Raw genomic sequence first — 24,118 nt, 5'->3', positions numbered from 1 at the left:
CAGGAACAGTTTTACCACCTGAACCGTAAAGCAGAGCTTCTCATACAGTGAGAGTCACAGTTTGCTACTGATCTTTCCAGCCTGTGGGAGGGCAAGGGGTGGAGGGAGCTAGGGTTGGTCCCATCTTCCCATCTGTTTACCCCAATGAGTCATGCAGTTGTCATCATCCCCTGTGTGTGCCATAGCATGATAAATCAGGGAGCTCTGGGCACAGGCTGAAGGCTGAATAGAGCCATCCAATGGCTGCAAACTGCTTGGCACAGCCATACTCACTAACATTTGTTAAGGATTTGACCTCCCATACATCAACCTCCAGAGCCTGAGCTCTCACCACTGTCTGCATTGTTGAATGCATGATGGCATCCTTGCTGTCACTTGTAAAACAGGGCTTTTTCAACCAAAATTTAATATTAAGAGTGAATGTTAATAGTAGTGATGTTACAGTTGCTACCCCCTCATCTTCCTGGAAAGAAATGCTGTCACATCAAGATGGTCCCACAGGGGGATGTAGGTCTGGTTGTGTGACCCAGAAGGACCAGAAAAGACCCACATAAAGGATTGAGGGATACAGAAGGAAGGACAGAGACAATGTAAGCCTTCAGGACAAGGATCAGTGACCTTCTGCTCACTGAGAAGATAGTAAATATCTTCTAAGAAGAAATATCACTGAGAAGATAGTAAAGAGCCAGGTAGTAAATATTGTAGGCCTCACCAGCCACATTTGTTCTCTGCTGCATATTCTTCTATTGTTTGCACCCCTTTAAAAATGTGATAGGCCTATTCTTCACTCCTAGGCTACACAAAAACAGGCTGCAGGCTGCAGGCTGCAGTTTTCTGACCTCCAACCCAGAAGGCAGATCTGAGAGAGAGCATGAACCCAGTCGTTATGCACCTCAATGGGTGGGTAGTCCACACCTGGGAACCAAAAATCCTACAGGCAGCTTGACAGGGAGTTTGTATGCTTTTTCCAGGAATAAGGAGGAGTATAAGGGATGCCATCTGGAAGGCAAAATATTGTAATTTTATGACCTGCTGATAGTGGTCCTTCCTAACTGGGGAAATGAATGTCCTTTTGCAAAATAATGAGAAGAATAGATTCTAGTTTTTTTTTTTAATTATTCTTATTTGATAGGATGAAAGGGTGGCAACCACATACCTTCCCCCAATCAAAAAGCAGAATGCCAGCCCGCCTGTCCTCTCTGCACCATCTTGGCCTTTCTCACTCTGGTCCAGACTCCTGCTCGTCCTTCTCTCTGAAACCAACTCACGTTGTTGCACTGCTACCCCCTGAACCTGTCTCATCCTTCCCCAGCCTCCTGTGTCCCAGAAACCAGGGTTCTTACCATGACTGTAATGTCCCCTCCTTCACTCTGGGCTGCAGTCCTGGTTCTTGGAGGCCCAACCCTCTGACAATGAAATCTTCTAGTCCTTCTCATCATCCTTAACTGAGAATGCCTAGTCATTCTCCCATATTCCTCAAGCCCATTGCCACTCCAAATCCTGCTAAAATCTTGAGTGGTTTCATCATCTTAGGGAGAGTAGAAGCCCATTTGAAACTCTGGTCTCAGTTTCTTGTCTGCTTCAATCCCAGAGACCTTCATTTCCACTCCATTCCAGCCAACTGCCTCCATGATCACACCCCAAACCCTGCCAAGGCATTGAACTCCATCACCATTTAAATTGTAGTTTTCCTAAGCTGCACTTGCTGATATGGACCACAGTTTTCTTTCTCTCCAGCACATTCACACTTTAGCCCACTCACGCCAGCTCTTTAATTTCACTGTGATTTCTACGCTCCCACCCACTCCATGGTATCCATCCTCAGTGGCTCATCATCCAACCAAGACCTCCCATTGGTCCATTATCTCAGCTTCCCTTTGAGCAATGTCCTCAATTCTCTTCCTCCCAATGGGACTAACCCAATGGGCTCTCTTTCCCTGCAGCTTGTCTCAGTCTGCTGAGCATGGGCAAAGAAATTTCCCATGGCCACAGCTGAACACACTGGTGCCTTTACAACCTGTGGACCTTCAGCTTCAACTGACCCCCGGCACAGTTTGATCAGTTGGTCCCCTCTCTTCCACCCCTTGCAGCCACTGCTTTCAGTGCTTGCCGCTCTCTCAGGCCTAGACCTCATCCATCCCCTTCTGCTCTCAGCCAGTGCCTGACCTCTGGCCTCCCAGAGCAAAAAGGGGCCATCTGTCAATATCTGCTTCAGCTTCCTTCCCCCTCATCCCCTCTATAAGCCATTTTATCTTTCCCTCTTGATTTCTCCTAATACAGAAGAAGGGTGTCCATTGGAAGTCAGTCCTTCTATCTGTGCTCTAGAGCTCATTCTTCCTCACCCCTTCAGGGGCCTCCATCTATCAATTACCCCCAACCCAGCCCCACTCCCATTCTTCCTTTATCTTTAGTGTGTCCCTCGACACCGACACTTCACTTTTTGCATAGGAACATGCTGAAATATCCCCCTTGTAAGAAAAACACTTTAACCCAAAGTTTCTCATCTCATGGTCTGGGTTTCAGGTGACCCATTTCCCTAAAAAATATAGGCAAAATTTGATATATATGGTGGAACATACTGTTTTTAATTCACTGTCACAAGTAATCTATGACCTAAACATGATTACCAGCTAATGTTCCACAATTCTTTTTTTAGCTGTCAATCTTGTTCTCTTACTTTCATAGCCAAGATGCTTGGGAAAATTTGTAGTTTCTACTTCCTCAAATCACTACTATTGAGTTTCCTTCCTCTTTACTCCACTAAATTTTCAAAGGGCTCTTCATGACTAACTCAATGGACACTTCCAGTCTCCATTTTCCTTGAAATGATGAATCACATCTCCCTGGCCTGGGTTCCATGATAGCAGATGCCACCAGTGTGCCTCCCCTGTCTCCAGCTGCTCTTCCTAGTGTCTCCTCCTCTCCTCAAGGGGCTGCCCTTGACTCTTACTCTTTACATCTGACATTCTCCATGGGTGTGCTCATATCCCTACGACTTCAAATACCACTGACATGCTAATGACCACCAAATACAACCAGGCTAGACCCTCTGCCCAAGCTCCATGCTTATATATTCGGTGCTTCCTGGACACCTCCAAGCAGATGTCCTTTAAGCTCAGGATGTTGAAAACTGAACACATAATCTCACTTCCACCCACAACCACATTCTTCCACTGGTTCCCCTCTTACATTCTTTATCTTGGAATTGGCACCACCAGCCATGGGGCTGCCCAACTCAAAACCTTAAGTCTTGTCCTTGATTGGTGCTCAAGTGGACTGAATGTTCATCTAGAAAGGACATTATACAAGGAAAGTCTGAATAAATATCATTTTAAATATAAATTTCAGATTCTACCATTACAAGTGAATATTGTCCCTGCAGCAAACACACTCCATCTAGGTTTGTAGCAAAACAAACAAACAAAAAACGTAGTGTCTGAGTTTCCCTGAAATCTATCTGATGCCTTCTTGCCTACCTCTCCAACTTCATCTCTCATTAGTCTGCCTCCTACCATCCCACTCTCACACCTGGTGGTCTGTCAACACACTCTGTGTTGTATGACTTTGTACATTATTAGTGTGAACAGCACTATTGACTTACAAAGTTAAGTCAATTTATTTGTAGGATAAATTCATATCATCCCTTAAAACCCAACTCAGATAATCCACTCTGAAATCCCCTTCTACAGCTGCCTCCTCCACCACCATCACCTCTAAATGCCTACTTCTTCTCCTCTAAATGCCTAGATATGTTTACTGTTCCACTAATATACTGCATTGCAATTTGTTTATTTTTAAATCTGCCTGTTAAATCATGAGCTCCTTGAGATCAAAAACTGTGCTTTAGTTTCACTGATTCTCCAAGACCTATAATAGCAAGCAAAAAAAAATTGGCAATAGAAATAGTAATGTAGTTGTAGTTTGCATTTACTAAGTGTTCACTGTGTGCTTAACAGCAGCAATAGTACTATTTTTTTCATAAACTGCCCTAATCCATAAATAGGTATTGAATGAAGTTAATTAATAAAGGAGCAATAGAATGCTAATTTATATCTCCATAAAGATTAAGATTATTATTATTCACATACTACAAAACCTCAGTAAATAATTATTGAGTCAATTAGTTAATAGATTAGTCACATAGGAAGCAAATAATGGGAAGCTGATTTAATAAAATCTCACCTCTACGTGGTGTGTTCTAGTTTATAAAACACTTTCATTTACACTGCAAGAATAACTACATCATCCCATGCCTTAATTACTATCATGCAGAGGGCTGAACTGAGGCTCAGAGGTGCTACATAATATGGCCAAGATCACAACTTGTGACCGGTGAGCCAAACTGCCAGGGACTTCATCCAGACTACTCCCTCTCAATCCCCACTGCCCCACAGCTGCCACCTCCTCCATATGACTCAGCTGCAGCCTCATAAAGTGCTTCCCTGTGGCTTCTCATTGCAGGCAGAAGTTTCCAAAGACGTCTGTAATGGCCCAGCATCTGTTCAGTTTATGAGCTTGTGTGTTGGTGGGTAACCATCTTTAATGCTGCTAACTTCAAAGACGCTTCTAGGGAAATTTCTAACTAAGGAAAAGCCACACACACGAAACCAGACTTGGATCTATATTCCTTCTATGGCCTCATGACAAATTACTAAGTTCATTACGAGCAAAATTCCTAGTGAAATTTCAAAGGCTCAGATTGAATCTGATTTCTCTCTAAGAAGTTTGACTCCTAACAAGTGGACATCCCCACCAACTTCCCCAAACACAAAAGCTACATGGAGAGAGTACAAGAATTGGGTCTCCTAAGAGCATCTGAACTCCTCTTTCATGGGGTCACATGCATGATCCTGGGTGCGTGGGCAAAACGATAGAAATTCTGAGGCACAAATGCATGTGAACAACCAATCTGATCTAAGCAAAGTGAGTCCAGCACCATGGAGGCCTCCTTTGGGGTGCTGAACAAGGGTATGGGTGAACTGTAGGGAACTTGCCCAAGCTCACACAGCTGCCTTGAACACAGACAGACTCCTAAGGCGGCACCGTTGCCCTCCACGTTAGAGACCTGTGTCTGATCTCTGCAGGAGCAGGAGCAGCTGCTGCTCATTCCATTTATCAAGCACTTGCTGTATGTGGTGGGTAGTAGGCTAAGCATGTTACACATAGGACTTTACCCAAATCTCAACTTGTAGGTAATAGGTAACATGGTGAATTCTACCTTAAAGAAACTGGGGCTTAGAGCAGTGCAGTGACTTTCCCTAGGTTATTCATAGAGTAGGAATAGAATTAGAACAGAGACTGAGATCTGCCCAGCACCAGGCTCTGTGCTTCCCAGCTTCTGCTTTTGCCTGGCTCCTTCTGCTTGCCTGTGGGTGAGCGCTCACAAAAGCAGAAGGGAAAAAATCACACGCTACAGCATAACTGAGCCAATGCTGAGAATTACAAAATTTAAAGGGAAATTTAAAAGACATTTAAGCCAACCCCTCTCACAACAAGAGAATCTTCAACATATTTGAATACTCCAGTGACAGGGAGCTCATTACCTCAATCTTACTCCATCACAGCAAGATAACCAATGCTTTCCATCATCTGACCCAGCCCCTTCTCTCCTCTTTCCCCATCTCACCTTCCCATGACACCAGGTACTCCAGTTATACGGAAGCCCTCACTCCATCCTCTTCAGCTGGGTCCCTCTCACCTCCCGGACTTTAAACACTGGGGAGAAGAGGTAGATGCTTCTGTAATAAGTCAAACTGAGTTCCTTCAGGAGGTCAGGGAATTCAGCACACTCAACAAGGGAGAATAAATGAATGGATGACTGAAGGATCATTTAAAAAAAACTTTGTGTAGCACTAGCCACTTGTAACATACTATCACTCTTTTTAATCAGTGATTAAAATTATTATAAGCCATAAAACTAAGGAAATCTTCTAGTGGGTTGTACTCAGGGATGGTCCCATTCACTGTCAGCTATGTAGAAGGGCCTGAGGAGCCCCAGGACAGGCAACCTGCCTAAAATATTTCCCCCGCGTGTTTGGCAAAAGTTTTGAATCTCTGCTCTCAGAATAGAACCGGTTTACCCACTTGTTAAACTGTGAACACCCCTGAAAAAGATATTAAAATATTGATATTTTCACCTTAGTGTGAATAACTTTGTTAATTCCATTTGGCTCAAGAGGCTCCAGGATGGCACTAGAAAATAAAATAATAAATAAACAAGGTCCTTCTATTCTTAACAGTTGCCTGTTCAAGGCAACTGTTCAGGGGTGAGAAGGAAAGAGAAACCACTTTTTCATCACAGTGTCCTGCCTTGGGATTGCCATTCTAGATGAGAATCATGGCTTAAGAGCATGTAGTCAGGAGTTACCCAGAGTGGGCAGAGGGGAATTATAGAGAAAGAGGAAGACAGGGCAGTACCAAACGCCAGCTCCCTCTACCTACGGCTTTGATTGAGGTCATTTTTGATTATGTGGTTTCTGACTGATTCTAGGCTGAAGGATATCTTCCATAGCTAAGAAGGATATTTAGAAGAAAATATTTAAAGCTAAAGGCTAAATAACCAAATCCAAATGGTAGGTTTTCTGTTGACATATTTTGCTCTTGGCTCCATATCCTTTAAATATAATTAAGCAAATTTTTGATGGACCAGGTACAAAACTGGTACTGTATAGGGAGAAAGTTACTGTAGAAAATCCATATATTTTCCCCATCTTCTAAGACTCTAAGATCTAGCAAGAGTTTAAGACATAACCATTCAGCAAACATTTGTCAAGTGCCTCCCAGGCTCACTATGTACAGCTGCACAGGTTGTGCATAGCACAACTGCAGGGGTAACATTTACAAAGATTACCTGTGAAAGGACCCCATTAGAACTGGTAGTGCATGACCTAACCCAGCCATGCCACCACTGCCAACCTTTACTGAGCATTGAGTACAGCCATTTTATGTATAATATCTCTTTTAAGCCTAAAACAACCTCTTTGAAGTGGTATAATCATCTCTATTTTACAGGTGAGACAATTGAAATGCAGAAAGATTCTTTAAACTGGCCAAGGTCACATACTTAAGGAGTGCCAAAGGGAGGGTTCAAAACTTGGCTGCCCAAACTCATATCCCATGTGGCTTTCAATACTCCACAACCACCCTCTCCATTCATTCGTTTTTCATTCTGTTATTCATTCATTTCTTCAACAAAAGTTAGTTGATCACTTTTACCTTTAAATACTGACTTAGGTCAAAGTGGAGACTTATATCTATTATTTAAAACCAAATAACTATAAATAAAATAATATTGAGCATCTACTCTATACTGGACATTTTGCTAAATGTGAAGAACCCAACCATGAATTACAAAATATCTGCCCTCTGGGAGCCCAAAATCTAACAAGCAAGCAAGAAAAATCCATTCATTCATTCGGTAAATATTTACTGAACACTGACTCCCACAGGTGCTGGGACTCCCACAGTCGCAGTAAATGAGACAGATAAAGTCCCTGTCCTCCTGCAGCTCCCATTCCAGAGAGGGCAAGCAACACTCAACAAGTAAACAAATGACAACAATTCATAGCGATGGTTCCCAGAGGCAGTACAGCAGGGTGAAGGGATGGAGAGTGCAGAAGGGAGCTACTTTGGATGGGGTGGTCAGCCATCCCTTGGAGGAAGTGACCTGGGGCTCAGAGCAGAGGAGGAACAAACCCTATAGAGGTGTGGTCTTTTCCCAGAACAGGACTGACAGTGGTCTCTCTGCCAGCAGCACCCACAGCCACTGGGGTAGAGCCCTTCCATCCTAAAGGGAGTCTGAGAGACCCCACAGCACCCTCCACAGTGTCTATATACTTTAGTCCAATGTGGGACACATCTGAGGGTGGAATGAGTGCTATGAAACACTGTGCAGGCTCTCCAGCACCAACCCAGGAGCACTGTCTTCTTCCTATTAGGTGGGTGCAAAAGTAATCGCAATTTTCCCATTACTTTCAAAGGCAAAGACTGCAGTAACTTTTGCACCTAATACTATAGCTTTCTATTGAACTGATGGAGCACATTGAAGCCACACAGAATTGATTCTTCATCCTTTTTGTCCTCCGGCCAGAAGGCCCAGGTGAGCAGGCACTGACTCCAAAATTGTTTAATGCTTGTATAAAACCTAAATTTCCTATCCAAATATGCACAGAGCTTATGCACACACACACAAACACTCCCAAAGAGGGAGCCTATGGTGCATCCTCTGACACACTCATGTTGCTCATTTACAGCCGTACCCCAGTGCTTAGTGCCTGGTACAAAGTAGGTACCCACCAAATGCTTGTTGAATGAATAAGCAACTGAACAAAGGGGAAAGGCAGCCAAGGCAGATGAAACCATAACTGAGTCTTAAACCCAGCACTTCTCCATTGGCTAGTGGCTCCCTCCTGCACCTGTGGAGAGAAGTGAAGCCTTCCAGGAAGGAAGGGAACTGGGAACCAGTTTCCTCACCTTTCTCAGTTTCCTAAGACCTACTATCATTGCAGCACCAGTTTGCCAGCTGTTTCTTTTTCCTTCTCAATCTCTCGGTCTCAGAGAGACAGAGAAGAGGTCCAGGGGGCTGCCAGATGTGAGGCTGTGCCCAGACCATACTCAGCCTCACACATTACAGCAATTATAGTCACCCAAGCAGCACAGTCCCTGGCAGATGTGGATCCTGGCTTGGGAGTGGAGTTCCCGCGTGCTGAGTGTTGCAGCTGCTAACAACATGATTCATTTGGCACTCTCAACCAAAGTGAGGAAACAGGGTGTGCTAACCGGCATGTCTTGCTGGCCCCTGGGATATAAAACCTATCCCTGGACAACTTTTCTGATGAAATAGTGACAGGGTATGCACCATGAGCTCCCTCAAAATGGCTTGTGTGCGTGTGTGCGTGTGCACATGCATGCATAAGCTCTGTGCGTATTTAGACAGGACATTTAAGTTTTATACAAACACTAAACAATTTTGGAATCAGTGGCCACTCACCTGGGCCTTCTAGGCTGAGGACCAAAGGGATGAAGAATCAGTCCTGTGTGCCTTTAACACGCCATCAGCCCAGTGCCTATAGTAGTAAGAAAACAGTGTGCCTGGGTTGGTGCACAGCGTTTAAAGGCATGCATTCCACCGTCAGACACGTCCCAGTCTGGATTATTAGAGTGCAAAGCCACTGTGGAGAGTGCTGTGGGGTCCCTGACTCCCTCCAGGACTGCAGGGCTCTACATTAGCAGTGGTGGGTGCTGCTGAGGCAGACCACTGTCTGCCCCCTTCCAGGACTGCCTCGGCTGAAGGTCATGCCCTGCTCAGGGCAGCTCATGGTAATGAGTGACCAGCGTGAGGCCATAACAATTTTAAAGGTCATCCCAGCTTCAGCATCCCTAAAGGGCCATCTGAGGCCTCCACCGAGACAACACTAAGGTTCAACTTCTCCCTCAGCCCAGTCCTGGGCCTTCCCTTGCCTCCTAACACCCCTGTTGGTAGAATTAACTTTTTGCTAAAAAAAAAAAAAAAAAAACTGGCCTTCCTACTAAACTTCATCTCAGAGTATGATTCCCGGGAAACTGGAGCAGCGACAGCCACCATCTTCGCGGGGAGACTCTGGGTTTACATCCGGGTTGAGTACAAATTTCAGCTCTACAAAGTACTGGTTATGTGAGTTTGGGCCTCTCTGAGCCTTAGCTTCCAAATCTGGAAAATGGACACAGTTGTGCACACCTTGTAGGGCAGTTGTGAAGATTAAAATATAGAAAGCATTTAGCATGGTGATTGGCATATTCAGTCATTCCATGAATAGGAATTTTTAAAATATATGATTGTGTGTGGTCATTAGAGGTTGGGAAGATCAGAGGGAGGGGGAGGAGACAGGGAGGTTAGTTAAGGGTGTGCAGTTCCAGGGGGACGGGAAAAATGATTCCCACTGCTGTGTAGCACTGTAGTGGGAAGATGGCTAACAATTAGTGTATATTTTCAAAACTCTAGGAGAGAGGATTTGGAATGTTCACAACACAAAGAAATGATAAACATTTGAGGCGATAGATATGCTGATTGCCCTGGTATGATCATTACACATTGTATACATGTATTAAGATACCACTCTGTATCTCATAAATGTGTAAAATTATTATATGTCAACTAAAAATAAGAGCAAAAAATGATAGAGCTACTAGCAAACTCTTTACCTTAATAACAGTTATCCATAAAAATGTGTGTGTGACTGTATACATGGGTGTGTATACGTACATGTATATTATATATATATATATATATATATAATTGTATAGCTCAGCTTTAACTGGTTGTCATGTGGGGAAGTCACACTCTCTCTCTGCCTCAGTTTCCTCCTCTGTAAAGCGGTTTGGACTTGGGAATTATTGCTGACGTTTCTTGAACACCCACTCTACAGCAAATTCCATGCTGAGCATTATACTTTATCTGCTCTTCAACAAAAGCCTGCTAGACTGATATTGCTTATATTTCACCATTATTCTCACTTTACTGGGGCAAGCAGGGGCATCAAGAGGCTGTGAAATCTGGCCCAGATACTCAGTGAAGCTGCCCAGGTGGACCTCAAAGCCCACGTGCTGCACCGTGATGTCGCATTGCTTCCTCGCTTAGAGGGTGTACATGCTTCCCGCCGGTGCTGACACTTTTTAGGATCACAGGACTCTGTTTCCAGCTTAATGAAAAACATTTGCAGAAAAGATCAAGTGAATTCCGTCAACCCACGGGCACAGGCAAAGGCACAGGATGGAGGCCAAGCAGACAAAGTTGATTCCTTTTCATTGTGTGGTTCAAAAGCTGTTGGGGCAGCCACTGCTGTTTCCATCTGCCCTGAATTCAGGCTTTGTCCCTGTCACTGAGCTCCAGGATGAGGTCAGGAGAGAGGTGCTGGAAAGCTGAGCAGGACAAACTGTAACGAGACATCTCTCTTCGCTCCACCTCGCACCTCTCAGCTGCAGCCTTCTTCACAGTCCGCTCTGCCAGCAGCAACCTGTGCTGCACCCATTGCTCAAAAGGGCTCAAAGTCAATGGCGGGAGCATTTTCCAAATGGTATGTTGAAGTATTCATGTGAAACACACATAGAATGGAGAGGACAAAATCCTAAATATTCTGTGTTTACCCTGGCTTTCAATCCAAATAGTAAATTTAATTAAGTAGCATCTTGATATGATTTGGCTCTGTGTCCCACCCAAATCTCACCTTGCAGCTTCCATAATTCCCACGTGTTGTGGGAGGGACCCAGTGGGAGATAACTGAATCATGGGGGCAGGTCTTTCCTGTGCTGTTTTCATGATAGTGAATAAGTCTCAGGACATCTGACGGCTTTTAAAAATGGCATTTTGCCTGCACAAGCTCTCTCTTTGCCTGCTGTCATCCACGTAAGATGTGACTTGTTCCTCCTTGCCTTCTGCCATGATTGTGAGGCCTCCCCAGCCACATGGAGCTGTGAGTCCAATTAAACCTCTTTCTTCTGCAAATTGTCCAGTCTCGGGTATGTCTTTATGAGCAACGTGAAAATGAACTAATACACACCTCTAAGAGAAACATTTCTGAAATAGAGAATGGCAAGCTGAATGCTCGTTGTCCTGGGAATAAACCCTTAGGAGATCCCACATTTGGGAAGCAGGGAAGGGGTGCGACGATCACACAGGCAGGCTCCAACACTGGAGAAGATAACTCAAGCTAACCTGCAGCAGCCTTGCTGGCTTGGTTGGTGTAAGCCTTTTAAGATGCAATGTACATTTGTCTGACAAAGAAAATATATATTTACTATTTCACTTGTTTATAAAACAATTTTTATCCAAAGAGAGTACAACTATACACTATACACCGTTGATATAATTGTCCTCACTTTCTCAAAATCTAGCTAGTCATCCACCAAAACACTCTCATGATAGTGCAAAGTAAAGCTTTTACATAGTTTTAAAGATCATTGTTCCACTGCTTCAAGCCCTGCAAGGATCTGCAGTATCCAATGCACTTTACGCTTTGGCCCCGGTCCTCTTCTGCACCTGTTGGTCCTGCAACACTGAGCTACTTGCATGGTCCTGCCTGAGCCTTGCTGATGCATGTCCCCATGCTTCCACACATGCAGTGCCCTCTGCCTCAGACACTATCCATTCTCCTCTTGGCCATCTGACAGATGCACACTCCTCCTCCAAGTCACAGTTTGGTCATAATATATTTGTGGTGCTTTTCCTGCCTGTCTATGGTGAATCTGGGGGAAACTTGTCAGTATCCCACTGCAGCCTAGGAACAGTTCCACTGTGCAGATGGACTTTCGAGTCTAGACTTGTCTGGAGACCTAATTGCTTAGCTTCATTTCGTGTGTGTGTGTGTGTGTGTGTGTGTGTGTGTGTGTGTGCATGTGTATGTACAAGCTGCCCATTCAAAGTCTACTTCAAAGAAAGAATTCTGCTCCCCCGACTGGTCAGTGGGGATGGTGTGCAGATGGAGGAGACTTCTGAAATCTCATGCACCTGTCTTGAGTACATACTATGTGATAAGGGCTGCTCTAAACACTGCATTTCTGTTGCTCTAGAGAAGGTTTCTAACACACTAGCTGGTTTGAAGGCACCAGTTTAGCAGGCAGGTGAGTTTTAGAAAGTCTTTCCAGAGAGAATGGTTTGCATATGCAAAGAATTCTTTCTTTGAAGTAGACTTTGAATGGGTGGCTTATACACACACACACGCACACACACACACACCACACACACACACGTATAAAAGACATGAAACCAAGAGATTAGGTCTCCAGACAAGTCTAGACTCAAAAGCTCATCTTTGCTAACCTGTTTCAGAAACTCAACCAAGTAACCTTATCTAACTCTGAAAGGGTCCATACAGATGTGGGTTCAAATCCCAGCTCAGTCATTTAATTTCCGTTTCCTTATTTGAAAAACAGACCATGCTATGAACCTAAATTTCTTGTGAATATTATATGATTTATAAATATTTGATATTTAAGAAATATTTCCTTTTCTCCCTGAATAGAGAGTACATAAAGATGAATATTTTACATATACACAGTGCATACGTGCCTGTACACATACACATACACATATAGACACATCCTCACAATCTATGTCAGAACCATACAATGACATTTCAACACCCTGAAGGCAGAGTTATCCCCTCCCTCTGATTCACATCAAAGGAACATGCCAAAATTCTTAGTTCTAATTTGGGAATTTTAACACATAGATAGGATGTTGGCTCTGACATTTCTATGCTTTTAAATCATACTTGTTAACAAGACACTTACAAGCACTGTGACATCTCATTCCACCTTGGAAACACCTACTCAGGCCCATAGGCTGTGTGTATATGTGAAAGGACATGCTCCATGCTCCATCTTTTTTTTTTTCTTTTGTAGGTAATTCACATGTCAGTAATACAAATGTTTAGCAAAAATAGAGTGGAAGCATTGTAAAATCACCCAAAGAAGTTATGCTTTGGTTTATGCATCTTTAACAATAGTATTTGACATCAAAACACTCTTTATCTATAAATTTAATAAATAATTTTTTAGTGATAAAACTTAAGGATCGCAAGTATATCAAAAGCCGAAAACCACTTTAATTTACGGCTGGTAAGTATGCAACTAGCAACAACTGTTTGAGACTAATTTGGCAATATAAATCTAGGGTCTTAAAATGTAAATTTCTCAAGCCCAATAATTCCGCTTTGGTCAATCTTACCCCAGGAAATAATCTGGTCTTCTGGAGGGAATTTTAGGTACCAAGTAGTTCACTTTGCTATTTTTATAATGATGAATAATAATAAACAATCAAATGACCAAAAATAAAGAAATGGACTAATGAACTGGTGGAATAACAGGACAGCTATCTCTGTTAACAATATTGTTGCTCATTTGTTGTTCATCACTAGAAGGTGAGCATCGTGAGAGTAGGAACATAGAAGACTCAATGAATGAGTCACTACGTATATACATGCCTGCATGAATGAGTGATTTAGACAGATATGTAACAATTTGGAGATACATACATATATATATACACATACATATATATACACATATATACACACATATATATACTATATATACACATATATACATATATATACACACATATATATATACACACACACACATATATATATACAATGCAATATTAGGTAAAAACAACCAAAAATGCAACATTATACATAGAGACTACAATGATATCAGACCATACAGAGAGCCTAAAAAGATTGAAAAAATAAACAAATGAATTAACTGACACAGAGTAACTTCTAAATAACTGTGATTTTCTTTCTATATTTCTGCTTTGTGTGAATTTTCTATAGCTAACAAATATTATAATAGGACCTATCGCTTGAGGTTCATATGAAGTTTAAATGCTTAGCACAGTGCTGAAGACAAAATGAGTTTTCATTAAACGTTAAAAAGTTTTGAAAAATACTATAGTATTGTTTTGAATTAAATACTGCCCTTTATCCTCTCTCCCTCCACAACCCCCTGCAAAATGAAGTAAAAGAATATAAGCATCTAAACCCACAAAGATAACAAAAAAAAGAACAAGGAAAAAAGGAAACGCAAGGAGCAGACAGCAGATGAGGGACTTCAAACACTGTTAAGTGAAGAATGGGAGATGGAGGCATGTTAACTGACTTGGCAGAGAGGAACAAGCAGTGCCCCAGTGCCTACAGAAGGAAGCACCCACACGATCTGCAGCTCCCCAGGCCTTTGATGAGCAGGAAGCAGGTGCTGCAGAGGGCAGGGGTACAGCAGGGATTGTGTGTGACAGCAGGATAGCTGAAAATCTTGACAATTGTAACAGGATGCTACTGTTTCTCTTTGGGGCTCTGTGGTGAACCATATTTACATGGCCATAATAATGATTTACTCTTGTTTCAACCCCAAATCTTGATATTAATATATTTTGTTGATAAAGGAGGAAAATTGTAAAAGGGTAGTGATAAAAGAGACAGAGAGCTAAGTCTCCATCAAGGCAAGAAGTGAACAGTCACTTCTGAAGTTGACAAATCAAGGAATAGTGGGATTCTATGGGTAACTGGTTCCAGGACCCCTCCCACCCATGGCTACCAAAATTCACAGATGTTCAAGTCTCTTATACAAAATGGTGTGGCATTTGCATATAACTCACACACATTCTCTGTATACTTTAATCATCTCTAGATTAGTTAAAATGTCTAATACAATGCCTACACACAGCTTTGTCTGCATGGATTCAATGTAGTACTTGACGCACAGCAAATTCAAGTTTTGCTTTATGGAATTTTTTGGAATTTTATTTTCTGATTATTTTTGATCTATGTGTCGTTGAACACACGGCTATGGAACCCACATAGAGCAGGCCAACTGTAACTTAGAAACACGGAGGCCAGGATGAGAAAAAAAGTAGTTAGAAGAGTTGAAATTTGGGGCTACTAGGAGTGGGAGTGGCAGATGAGCAGAGATGACATAGATGACATAGGGAACTCATTTGTTTTGCTTTTTTTTTTTTTTTGAGATGGAGGCTGTGTTGCTCAGGCTGGAGAACAGTGTGATCTCAGCTCACTGCAACCTCTGCCTCCTGGGTTCAAGAGATTCTCCTGCCTCAGCCTCTCTAGTAGCTGGGACTACAGGTGTACGCTACTATGCCTGACTAATTTTTGTATTTTTAGTAGAGATGGAGTTTCACCATATTGGTCAGGCTGGTCTCGAACTCCTGATCTCGTGATCCACCCACCTCAGCCTCCCAAAGTGCTGAGATTACAGGTGTGAGCCACTGCACCTGGCCTGTTTTCTTTTTAAACCATAAATCTTTTGGGACTTTTTGATTATTTCAACTGTGTTTGTACACTAACTTGATAAAATTCAAAATCAATTTTGACCAAAATCTGGCTAGCACATGTATTATCTGTTTGGTCTTGGGCAACCTTATCTGTCTCTAAGCCCTACTCCACCATCTGACATGGCAATAACGATGCCAACCTTACAGTATCTCAGGAAGCTAACGTCTATCATGAATGCAAAGTGCTTAGCATACACAGTTTCTATAGAAGGCTCAACAACTTTATATATAATGTGTTCTCCAAAGTTTGCTATTTTAACTGACTGAGGGAAACTAATAACATATATGAGTAAAAGACATTTTTATACTTTTAGCCACAGCCCTGGTTTTAAATAATTTCCTCCTACATGAGCTATATTCTGTCTCTCCAGCCAGGGCCATAATAGCCATAATGACAGATTTCTAGGGCCCCTTAGACATCATGTCACAGGACAGGAATTAACATCGCTTGGCCTCTTGGCTGAGCAGCGTGTGGAGCCCAGGCTGAGCCTCTCATTTCCTGACAAAGGGAAGCAGAAAAGGGGACGGTGCAGTGAGGCCCATGCTGTCCTGACCCCTCCACCTCACCCCCATCTAGAGCATCCAGATGTCTCTACTGCACCCAACCTCTCTGCACTTTCTGCTGACTCATGCCATGAGTGAGGAGGATCAGTGGGATGTGCAGGAGCAAGGGCAGCCTGGGTCCAGGCTATGTTACCGGGCACCTGGGCACCTGGGCTCCTGGACTCAGGGCCAGTGTTTCATCATTAGATGTCACAGTGCTGCCCAGTGTGGCCGATAACTGTAAGCTCCAACTCTTTTGCACTAATAAGGAGCTGACTTCTTTCCCTTTTTGGCCATAAATAACACCATTCTTGACATTGCCTCCGGATTGTGTGTGTCTAGTCATTACTCGATAGGGCGAAATAATCCTTAAAATGAAAACTGGGAGAACGCGACTTAGGTCTTACTCTGCTTCAATCAGCCACATAATTTCCACAAATCATTTCATTCCCGTGAGTCAATTTTCTCATCTGCAAAGTGGGCATGTTGCTGGTACTCACCCCACTTATACATGTGTTTAATTCATAGGAGCTGGAATTAATGCGAGTGATATGCAAGCTATCAACTTCTGTACAAAAGCAAGGGGGAAGAGGAGAAAGAAGATGAATGAGGGGGTACTCTCATCCAAGAGATAAAAAGACAATGAACTTACCTTTCTCTGTGAGGGAAGGCAGAACAACCAAAGGGCAAAAACTGGGAGCATTATTTTGAGCAACTGAAAAGGAAAAAGCAGTCTTTCAGTTCTTTTCTACCCCCATGGTATCATCGAGTTCAGAAGGCATTAATATAAGTATAAGATGGTGATTGTAAAATTGGACTTGGAAGGCAGACAGATTGTCCCAACCTGTATCGGTCAGGGTGGGCTGGATGATGCTGAGCTAACAAACAATCTCAACATATAAGTGGCTTAGAACAGTTCAGGATCCCTCTCCTTGTACCACCTGCCTACTGCAGAGAGGCTGGGGGCTTTGCTCTATGTTATCGTCTCTCAAGGACCAAGCTGAAAAAGGCAGCTTCTTGCCTCAAGTTTCAATAATTGCCATGCAGGGCAAAGCGAATGCAGCAGATTTATTTCAGTCTTGCTCTTAGAGCTTTTGCCTAGAAGTGACACACATCATTTCTTTTCTCATGACATTGACCAAAGTTAGGTTATGAGATCAAGGGTGAGGAGGTGCAGTCCTACCCCGTCCCAGAGAGCAGAGAGTCGAAACGTGTGGGAAACAACACAAATGCTAGCCACTATCACTTACTGACTCTGTGAACTGGGCAAGGCACTTATGCTTTCTGGGCCTCAGTTTTCACATCTGTACAATGAGTTTAGTACTACCCACCTAGAGAATTATGACAAAATTACAGGAGATAACACAATTTATTACATTTGGCACTGTGCCAGGCATAAGATACCAGCTCAGCAAATGCCAGCTGCTAATAGCAAGCAGCACAGCATGGTGGCAGCCTGGACTTTGAAGGCAGACAGACTGGATATGGACCTCATCAGACCACTTGGAAGCAGCGTAGAGTAACAAGTCCTCTAACTTCCTCTATTTTCAGTTTCAGCATTGATAAAACGAAGATGATGTAAACATTAAATGAAGAACCATTCATACCCAGTATGTGACACATAAATGCAAATTATCTTCTTCCCCTTTTTCTTCCTTTACTGAATAAATCTAAATCTTCATTACTCTTTTCTCTCCAGTGGCCCAAACTAGGACGGTACATGGGATCTCCTTGCTCACAGGGAGCTGCGGCAATGTAGCATGGCCAGCAGTCAAAAGTAGGGGCTCCCGGGTCAGCAGCCCCAGGCAAGATTGGTTTGCCACTTTTCTGCTGTGTAACTTTGAGCAAATTACTCAACCTCTCTGTCCTCAGTTTCCTTGTCTATAAAATGGGCATAGTAACAGTGCCTCTCATAGGGTTGCGAGGTTTAGATGAGCTGATACTGGTGCAGCTCTGATCATATAGTAAACGTTCAATACATCCTGTGTATGATTCACTCTTAATACTGCCCTTTAACAATAATATACTCTTGCCATGTCTCTTGTCCCTGTGTGTCTCCATGAAAAGCCATGGGTCAGAGTCATGCTGTGTTCTGGTCCCAAAGTCCTTGCGTGGGTCGCCTCACATCCACCTCCTTCTCTGCCTTCTTCACTTTGGTCAGATATGCCAAGCCCCAGCCTCTTTGCATTCTAGAGCCTTCAATCCTATTATGTCTTTTCCCCTTGGCATCATCTGCCTGGAAGCACCTGCTACTATCACTCTAAGGCACCAGATCTCAAACTTTGGCAGACTTCCAAATTACCTGGAGGGCATGGTAACACACACCTTGCTGGGTCCCACCCCAGAGTGTCTGATTCCGCAGGTCTGGGATGGGATCTGAGGTCTACATTTCAAGCAAGTTCCCCAGCGCTGCTGTTGCTGCTGATCCACGCTGAGCCAAGGCTTCTGTCATCTCACGTTCTGGGAGCTCCTAATATAACTCATAATTGCTCAGAAGTACCCCCATGTTCCTCTATATCCAGCTGGCCAGCTTGATACTTGTCACCCTGTTGTCACTTGTTTAAAATGTCTGTTCTTCCCAGAAGAGACTCACAGAACCAGGCTCCTGAGAGTGCAATCTTCAGAGAATAATTTGACTATCTATGTTGAGGGCATTCAAACGTCCACACCCTTGGGTCCAGTAATTCTGCTCCTAGAAATTTACTTTGAAATTCAAAGCAAGCTCTGTTTGCAAAGGAAACATCTCCCAATACTGATTGAACACTGGCAACTACATAAATGCTGAACACTATGAGAATGGTGGCGTGAGCTACAGCACATCTACTGGGGGGATTACCATGCATCTCACGTCAGCAGAGCATTTGCCACACAGTCTGCTGCGTTGCTTTACTTTCCTTTCACACCCACTATCAGTGAGAAAAAGTAACAGGCATTATAAGTCTTTGCGTGGGACCTTCTTTATTGTACAGGACTGAGATGAGCCCTGAGAATCCTCAGCTTCCATATGTAGGTAGCAATTTACGTAGAATCTATTCTTTTTCATCATTCACATCCTATGAACAGCTTCTTAACCTTTTAATAAGCATAAAGTCTTCTGCTGGCACTAGGCTAGCATTTGGCATGCAGTTATCTCATTTAATTCCCTAACAATCTGATGAGATAGGGCCTACTCTTACCGCATGCAGTGCTGTGCTGGCAAATATGGTACAACTGATTAGGTGGGAGTAAGAGCTATTTTTACTCACAACATTTCTGATACCACATCTGTCAGGTTTTTTGCCCCCACACCAACCAATTCTTCAACCCTCTGGACCAGTGATTCAATTCAATCCAGACACTAACTACCTGGATTTCAAGTCAGACCCCACAGGTTAAGTCTCAGTCCCAGAAGACTGCCCCCACTTCAGATACCAATCACAAGCCCTGAGCCTCCTGCACTTCTGACCATATAAATTGGGGGTCTCCATGACCTCCTCCTTGGGATCAATAATTTGCTAGAATGGCTCCCAGGACTCAGGGAAACCACTATCTATTAAAGTTTTATTATAAAGTATACAACTCAGAAACAGCCAAAAGGAAGGGGTGCATAGGACAAGAGGGCCGGGGGGGAGCCTCCACACCCTGTTTAGGTGTCCCACCCTCCCAGCACCTCTGTGTGTTCACCAACTCAGAAGCTCTCCAAACCTGGTTGTTGAGGGGACTTAAGGAGGTTCCATCACATATGAGTAATTGAGTAAGTCATGGGCCATTGGTCAATGCACTCAATCTCCAGCTGTTCTCTTCTTCTTGGAGATAGGGGAGGGGGACTGAGAGTTTCAATCTTCTACTCTTGCCTTGGTCTTTGTGGCAGCTAGCCCTCCTTCTTAACCTGTCTAGGGGCCTCCAGCCACCAGTCATCTTATTAGAAGACAAAAAGATACTTTTGTCACTCTAGAGATCCCAAGGGACTCAAAAGCTCTTGACTTAGAGGCTCCTTCCCCAGCCCCCTTGTCCTATGCACCCCTTCCTTTTGGCTGTTTCTGAGTTGTATCCTTTATAATAAAACTTAATTAGTAAGTGTTTCCCTGAGTCCTGGGAGCCATTCTAGCAAATTATTGACCCCAAGGAGGAGGTCATGGAGACCCCCAATTTATATGGTCAGAAGTGCAGGAGGCTCAGGGCTTGTGATTGGTATCTGAAGTGGGGGCAGTCTTCTGGGACTGAGACTTAACCTGTGGGGTCTGACTTGAAATCCAGGTAGTTAGTGTCTGGATTGAATTGAATCACTGGAACAGAGGGTTGAAGAATTGGTTGGTGTGGGGGCAAAAAACCTGACAGATGTGGTATCAGAAATGTTGTGAGTAAAAAATAGCTCTTACTCCCACTTCATCAGTTGTAACATATTTGCCAGCACAGCACTGCATGGGGTAACAGTAGGCCCTACCTCATGAGATTGTTAGGGAATTAAATGAGATACTGCATGCCAAATGCTAGCCTAGTGCCAGCAGCAGACTTTATGCTTAGTAAAAGGTTAAGAAGCTGTTCATAGGATGTGAATGATGATAAAGAATAGATTCTACAGTAAATTGCTACCTACATATGGAAGTTTCTATGTGGGTTGCAGAGACACATAATTAGAAGAGCTTGTCATTTCCTTTCCAGATTCTTACATCTAGAATTGCAAGAGGGTCCAAAAACATTTGCTTAGCAGAAGACAGGAACTGTGAGGCTTCAACTCTCTTTTCTAGAAGTCACATTTGACTTTGTAAACAGATCTTGCCCCACTTGCAGACAATGCACAGCTGCAGATAAGATGGGCAGCCCTAGTTCTCTTCAAAGAACAGAGAGTACCAATGCCACAGAGGCCCACCCCTTCCAGGAAGCCCTGGGCTCTGGGGTACTGCTTAACCACAGAGCAGCCCCTTATTCCACGCACCACCCCCTCCTCCCCTCAGCACTTATACCCTTGTCCTCTGGAGGCTTAGAACAGTTCCTCTCTGGCTCTACTGCCAGGAAGGGGCTGCAAACAGTCTCATTTGCATTCACATTGCTTAGCCTGAGACTCTGCAATTCTATGCTAAGATGCATGGAACTTTCTGCTCACTTCTGAACTCTGCTCATAGCAGAATCAGAAGGCCCATGGCTGCAGGCTCTTTGGACTCTCCTTTTGGTGCTCTGCTGCACTAGGTCTGTGCTTTTCTCTTTCTGAATGCTAGGAGACTCTGCTCCATCCTTTGATCTGTGACCACAGCCCTCTAAGAAGGTTATGTTTCAATTGTCCATGTGTGCAGGTCTCTGCCTCTGAGGCTGTGAGATCTGTAAGGGCAGGGACATGCTACCTCCTCTCTACCTACTGCCTATGGCTAGTCAGTGGCCACTGCTCCTTCACCCCACTTCCCTTTCTCTATATCCAGCTTTCCCCCAGAGTCACTTTTGTATAATCCCTTGCAGAACAGAATTTCCTGTTCCTCTCTCATGCTCTGAAGAAGCACCCCCAACACCCTACCTCTCCCCTGGGATTCCACTACAGTAATACAAGCCACATCACGGTGTAATTCTCTGAGGCTGGGGAGGAGAACAGCACCCTCCTCCCAGAGGGGTGTGAGTTGATACAAGGAATGCCTTTAGAGTAGTGTCTGTGACATGGTTTGGAGGTGTGTCCCCTCCAAATCTCATGTTGAAATGTGACCTCCAGTGTTGGAGGTGATCCTGGTGGGAGGTGTTTGGGTCATGGGGATGGATCCATCATGAATGGCTTGGTACTGTCCTCGCAGTAATGAGTGAATTCTCGCTCTATGAGTTCACACAAGAAGTAGTGTTTAAAAGAGACTGGCACCTCCTCTCTTGTTCCCTCTCTCTTTCTCTCACTGTCATCATGTGACAGGTCTGCTTCCCCTGCACCTTGTGCCATGAGTAAAAGCTTCCTGAGGCTTCTCCAGAAGCTGGGCAGATGCTGGTGCCATGCTTGCACAGCCTGCAGAACCATGAGCCAAATCAACCTCTTTTCTTTATAAATTACCCAGTCTTGGATACTCCTTTATAGCAATGCAAAATGGATGAACACAGTCTGACATACAGTAATGCTTAAGAAAGGTTTGTTTTCTTTAACATCTGTCTCCTTAGCCAGACTGTCAACCCTTTGTGGGCAGGGACTTCTACCCTCTGTGCTTCCAAGGTGTTTGGCATATAGTAGGAACTCAATAAATCTCAATTCCTAATTGATCCTAGTGGCAATTCCTCAGAAACAGGGGACCTAGTGTGATATGGTTTGGCTCTGTGTCCCCACCCAAATCTCATCTTGTAGCTCCCATGATTCCCATGTGTTGTGGGAGGGACCTGGTGGGAGATGATTGAATCATGGGAGTGGGTCTTTCCCGTGCTATTCTCGTGATAGCGAATGGGTCTCACAAGATCTGATGGTTTTAAAAATGGGAGTTTCCCTGCACAATTTCTCTCTTCGCCTGCTGCCATTCATGTAAGATGTGACTTGCTTCTGCTTGCCTTCCGTCACGATTGTGAGGCTTCCTCAGTCATGTGGAACCGTAAGTCCAGTTAAACCTCTTTCTTTTGTAAATTAACCAGTCTTTATCAGTATGTCTTTATCAGCAGCATGAAAATGGACTAATACATAGTGTTAATGGGCTCATAGTCATCACTCAGTATAGATGTCACTATACTAAATGACCAAACCATGGACTTGAAGCAAGGCCAAAATCTATTATTGAAAATATTCATCAAATCCTTGGTAAAAATGTTTGTCTCATGTGCCAGTGCTGACAGAGAGGTGAAGGAGAGGATCCTATCCATCCTGCAAGGCTCAGGCCCAGAGATTCCTGTCTCTAGGCAGACTTTCCTAGTCCCATAGAGGCTACTTCCTACTATTATGTATGCAATTACCTAATACAAAGCTAAGAGTGGGGAGAAAAGTAATGACAATGTCAGCTTCAGTGCTGGGATTTTACATCAGTATACTGGTGTGGTTTTGTTTACTAGAGAAAATAGAATCCAATGTACTAATGTTCAGAACTCAGCTAATAAGTGTGTTTTGGCTCAAACTATATCATAAATCAAAAGATGGTTTCTTACTGGTCCACATGGCCCACCTGTGAGAATACTGTAATTTATTAAACCAGTCTCCTTAAGTAAGGTTACCCTTCTCAAACTAGGTCTTAGGAGGAAATAATCCACAAAGTCTTAAGACTTATCCCACCACCCACTTCTGTTTGATGAAGACAACTTAAGGGAGAAAGAACCCTGTCCTGCTCTGCTGGAGAGTCAAATCACACCATGTCAACACAACCTTGTGACAGCCAGTCCTCCTCCTTCTGTTCTGAAATGAGAACCACGGAGCCACTCACACCAGAATGCCCATAAGCCATGTGCATCCCATGGTGTTTTCTGTTCAGGGGCCATGGATGGAAGAATGAGAGTCTGATGACATTGTAGCACTTTTTCTTTCTCTCCCCAGGCACCCAGACACTGCAAGCAGGCAGTGCACAGTGTGAAAGACCACCTGCTTGGGGAGAGGAGATTGCAGGAGCTGGGCCTTAGGCCAAAAAGAGGGCCCATAGGAACCTTCCAGCAACAGGCTTCCACACCTCCTCTATGGTTTCATCGTTTGTCCCCTCCAAAACTCATGTTGAAATTAAATTGCCATTGCAACAGTAATGAGAGGTGAAACCTTTATGAGGCAGAGCCCTCATGGGTGGGACTAATGCCATTATAAAATGGCAAGTTTGGTCCCCTTTCTTTTCTTTGCTCTTCTACCTTTCC

At 43.7% G+C, this 24,118-nt stretch overlaps 1 protein-coding gene across 13 annotated transcripts in view; it reads right to left on the bottom strand.

Annotated features, from left to right (window-relative positions):
• Positions 1 to 24,118, bottom strand: part of TG (thyroglobulin) — a 267,942-nt gene that overhangs the window by 134,469 nt on the left and 109,355 nt on the right. For 10 of the 13 annotated variants that reach the window (NM_003235.5, XM_017013794.2, XM_017013793.2 and 7 more), the window contains one exon: positions 17,019 to 17,081. The exons of 1 other annotated variant lie outside the window; for it this stretch is intronic. In NM_003235.5, coding sequence (NP_003226.4) covers positions 17,019 to 17,081 — 63 coding nt within the window. Of the gene's footprint in view, positions 1 to 5,626; positions 5,716 to 10,454; positions 11,749 to 17,018; positions 17,082 to 24,118 lie in introns of those variants that run through there. 2 more of the 13 variants (XM_017013800.2, XM_005251042.5) reach the window with 2 other exon arrangements.

The sequence above is a fragment of the Homo sapiens genome, chromosome 8 (assembly GCF_000001405.40).
Source record: "Homo sapiens chromosome 8, GRCh38.p14 Primary Assembly".
NCBI lineage: Eukaryota > Metazoa > Chordata > Mammalia > Primates > Hominidae > Homo > Homo sapiens.
This window is presented reverse-complemented; position numbering and strand designations above follow the sequence as displayed.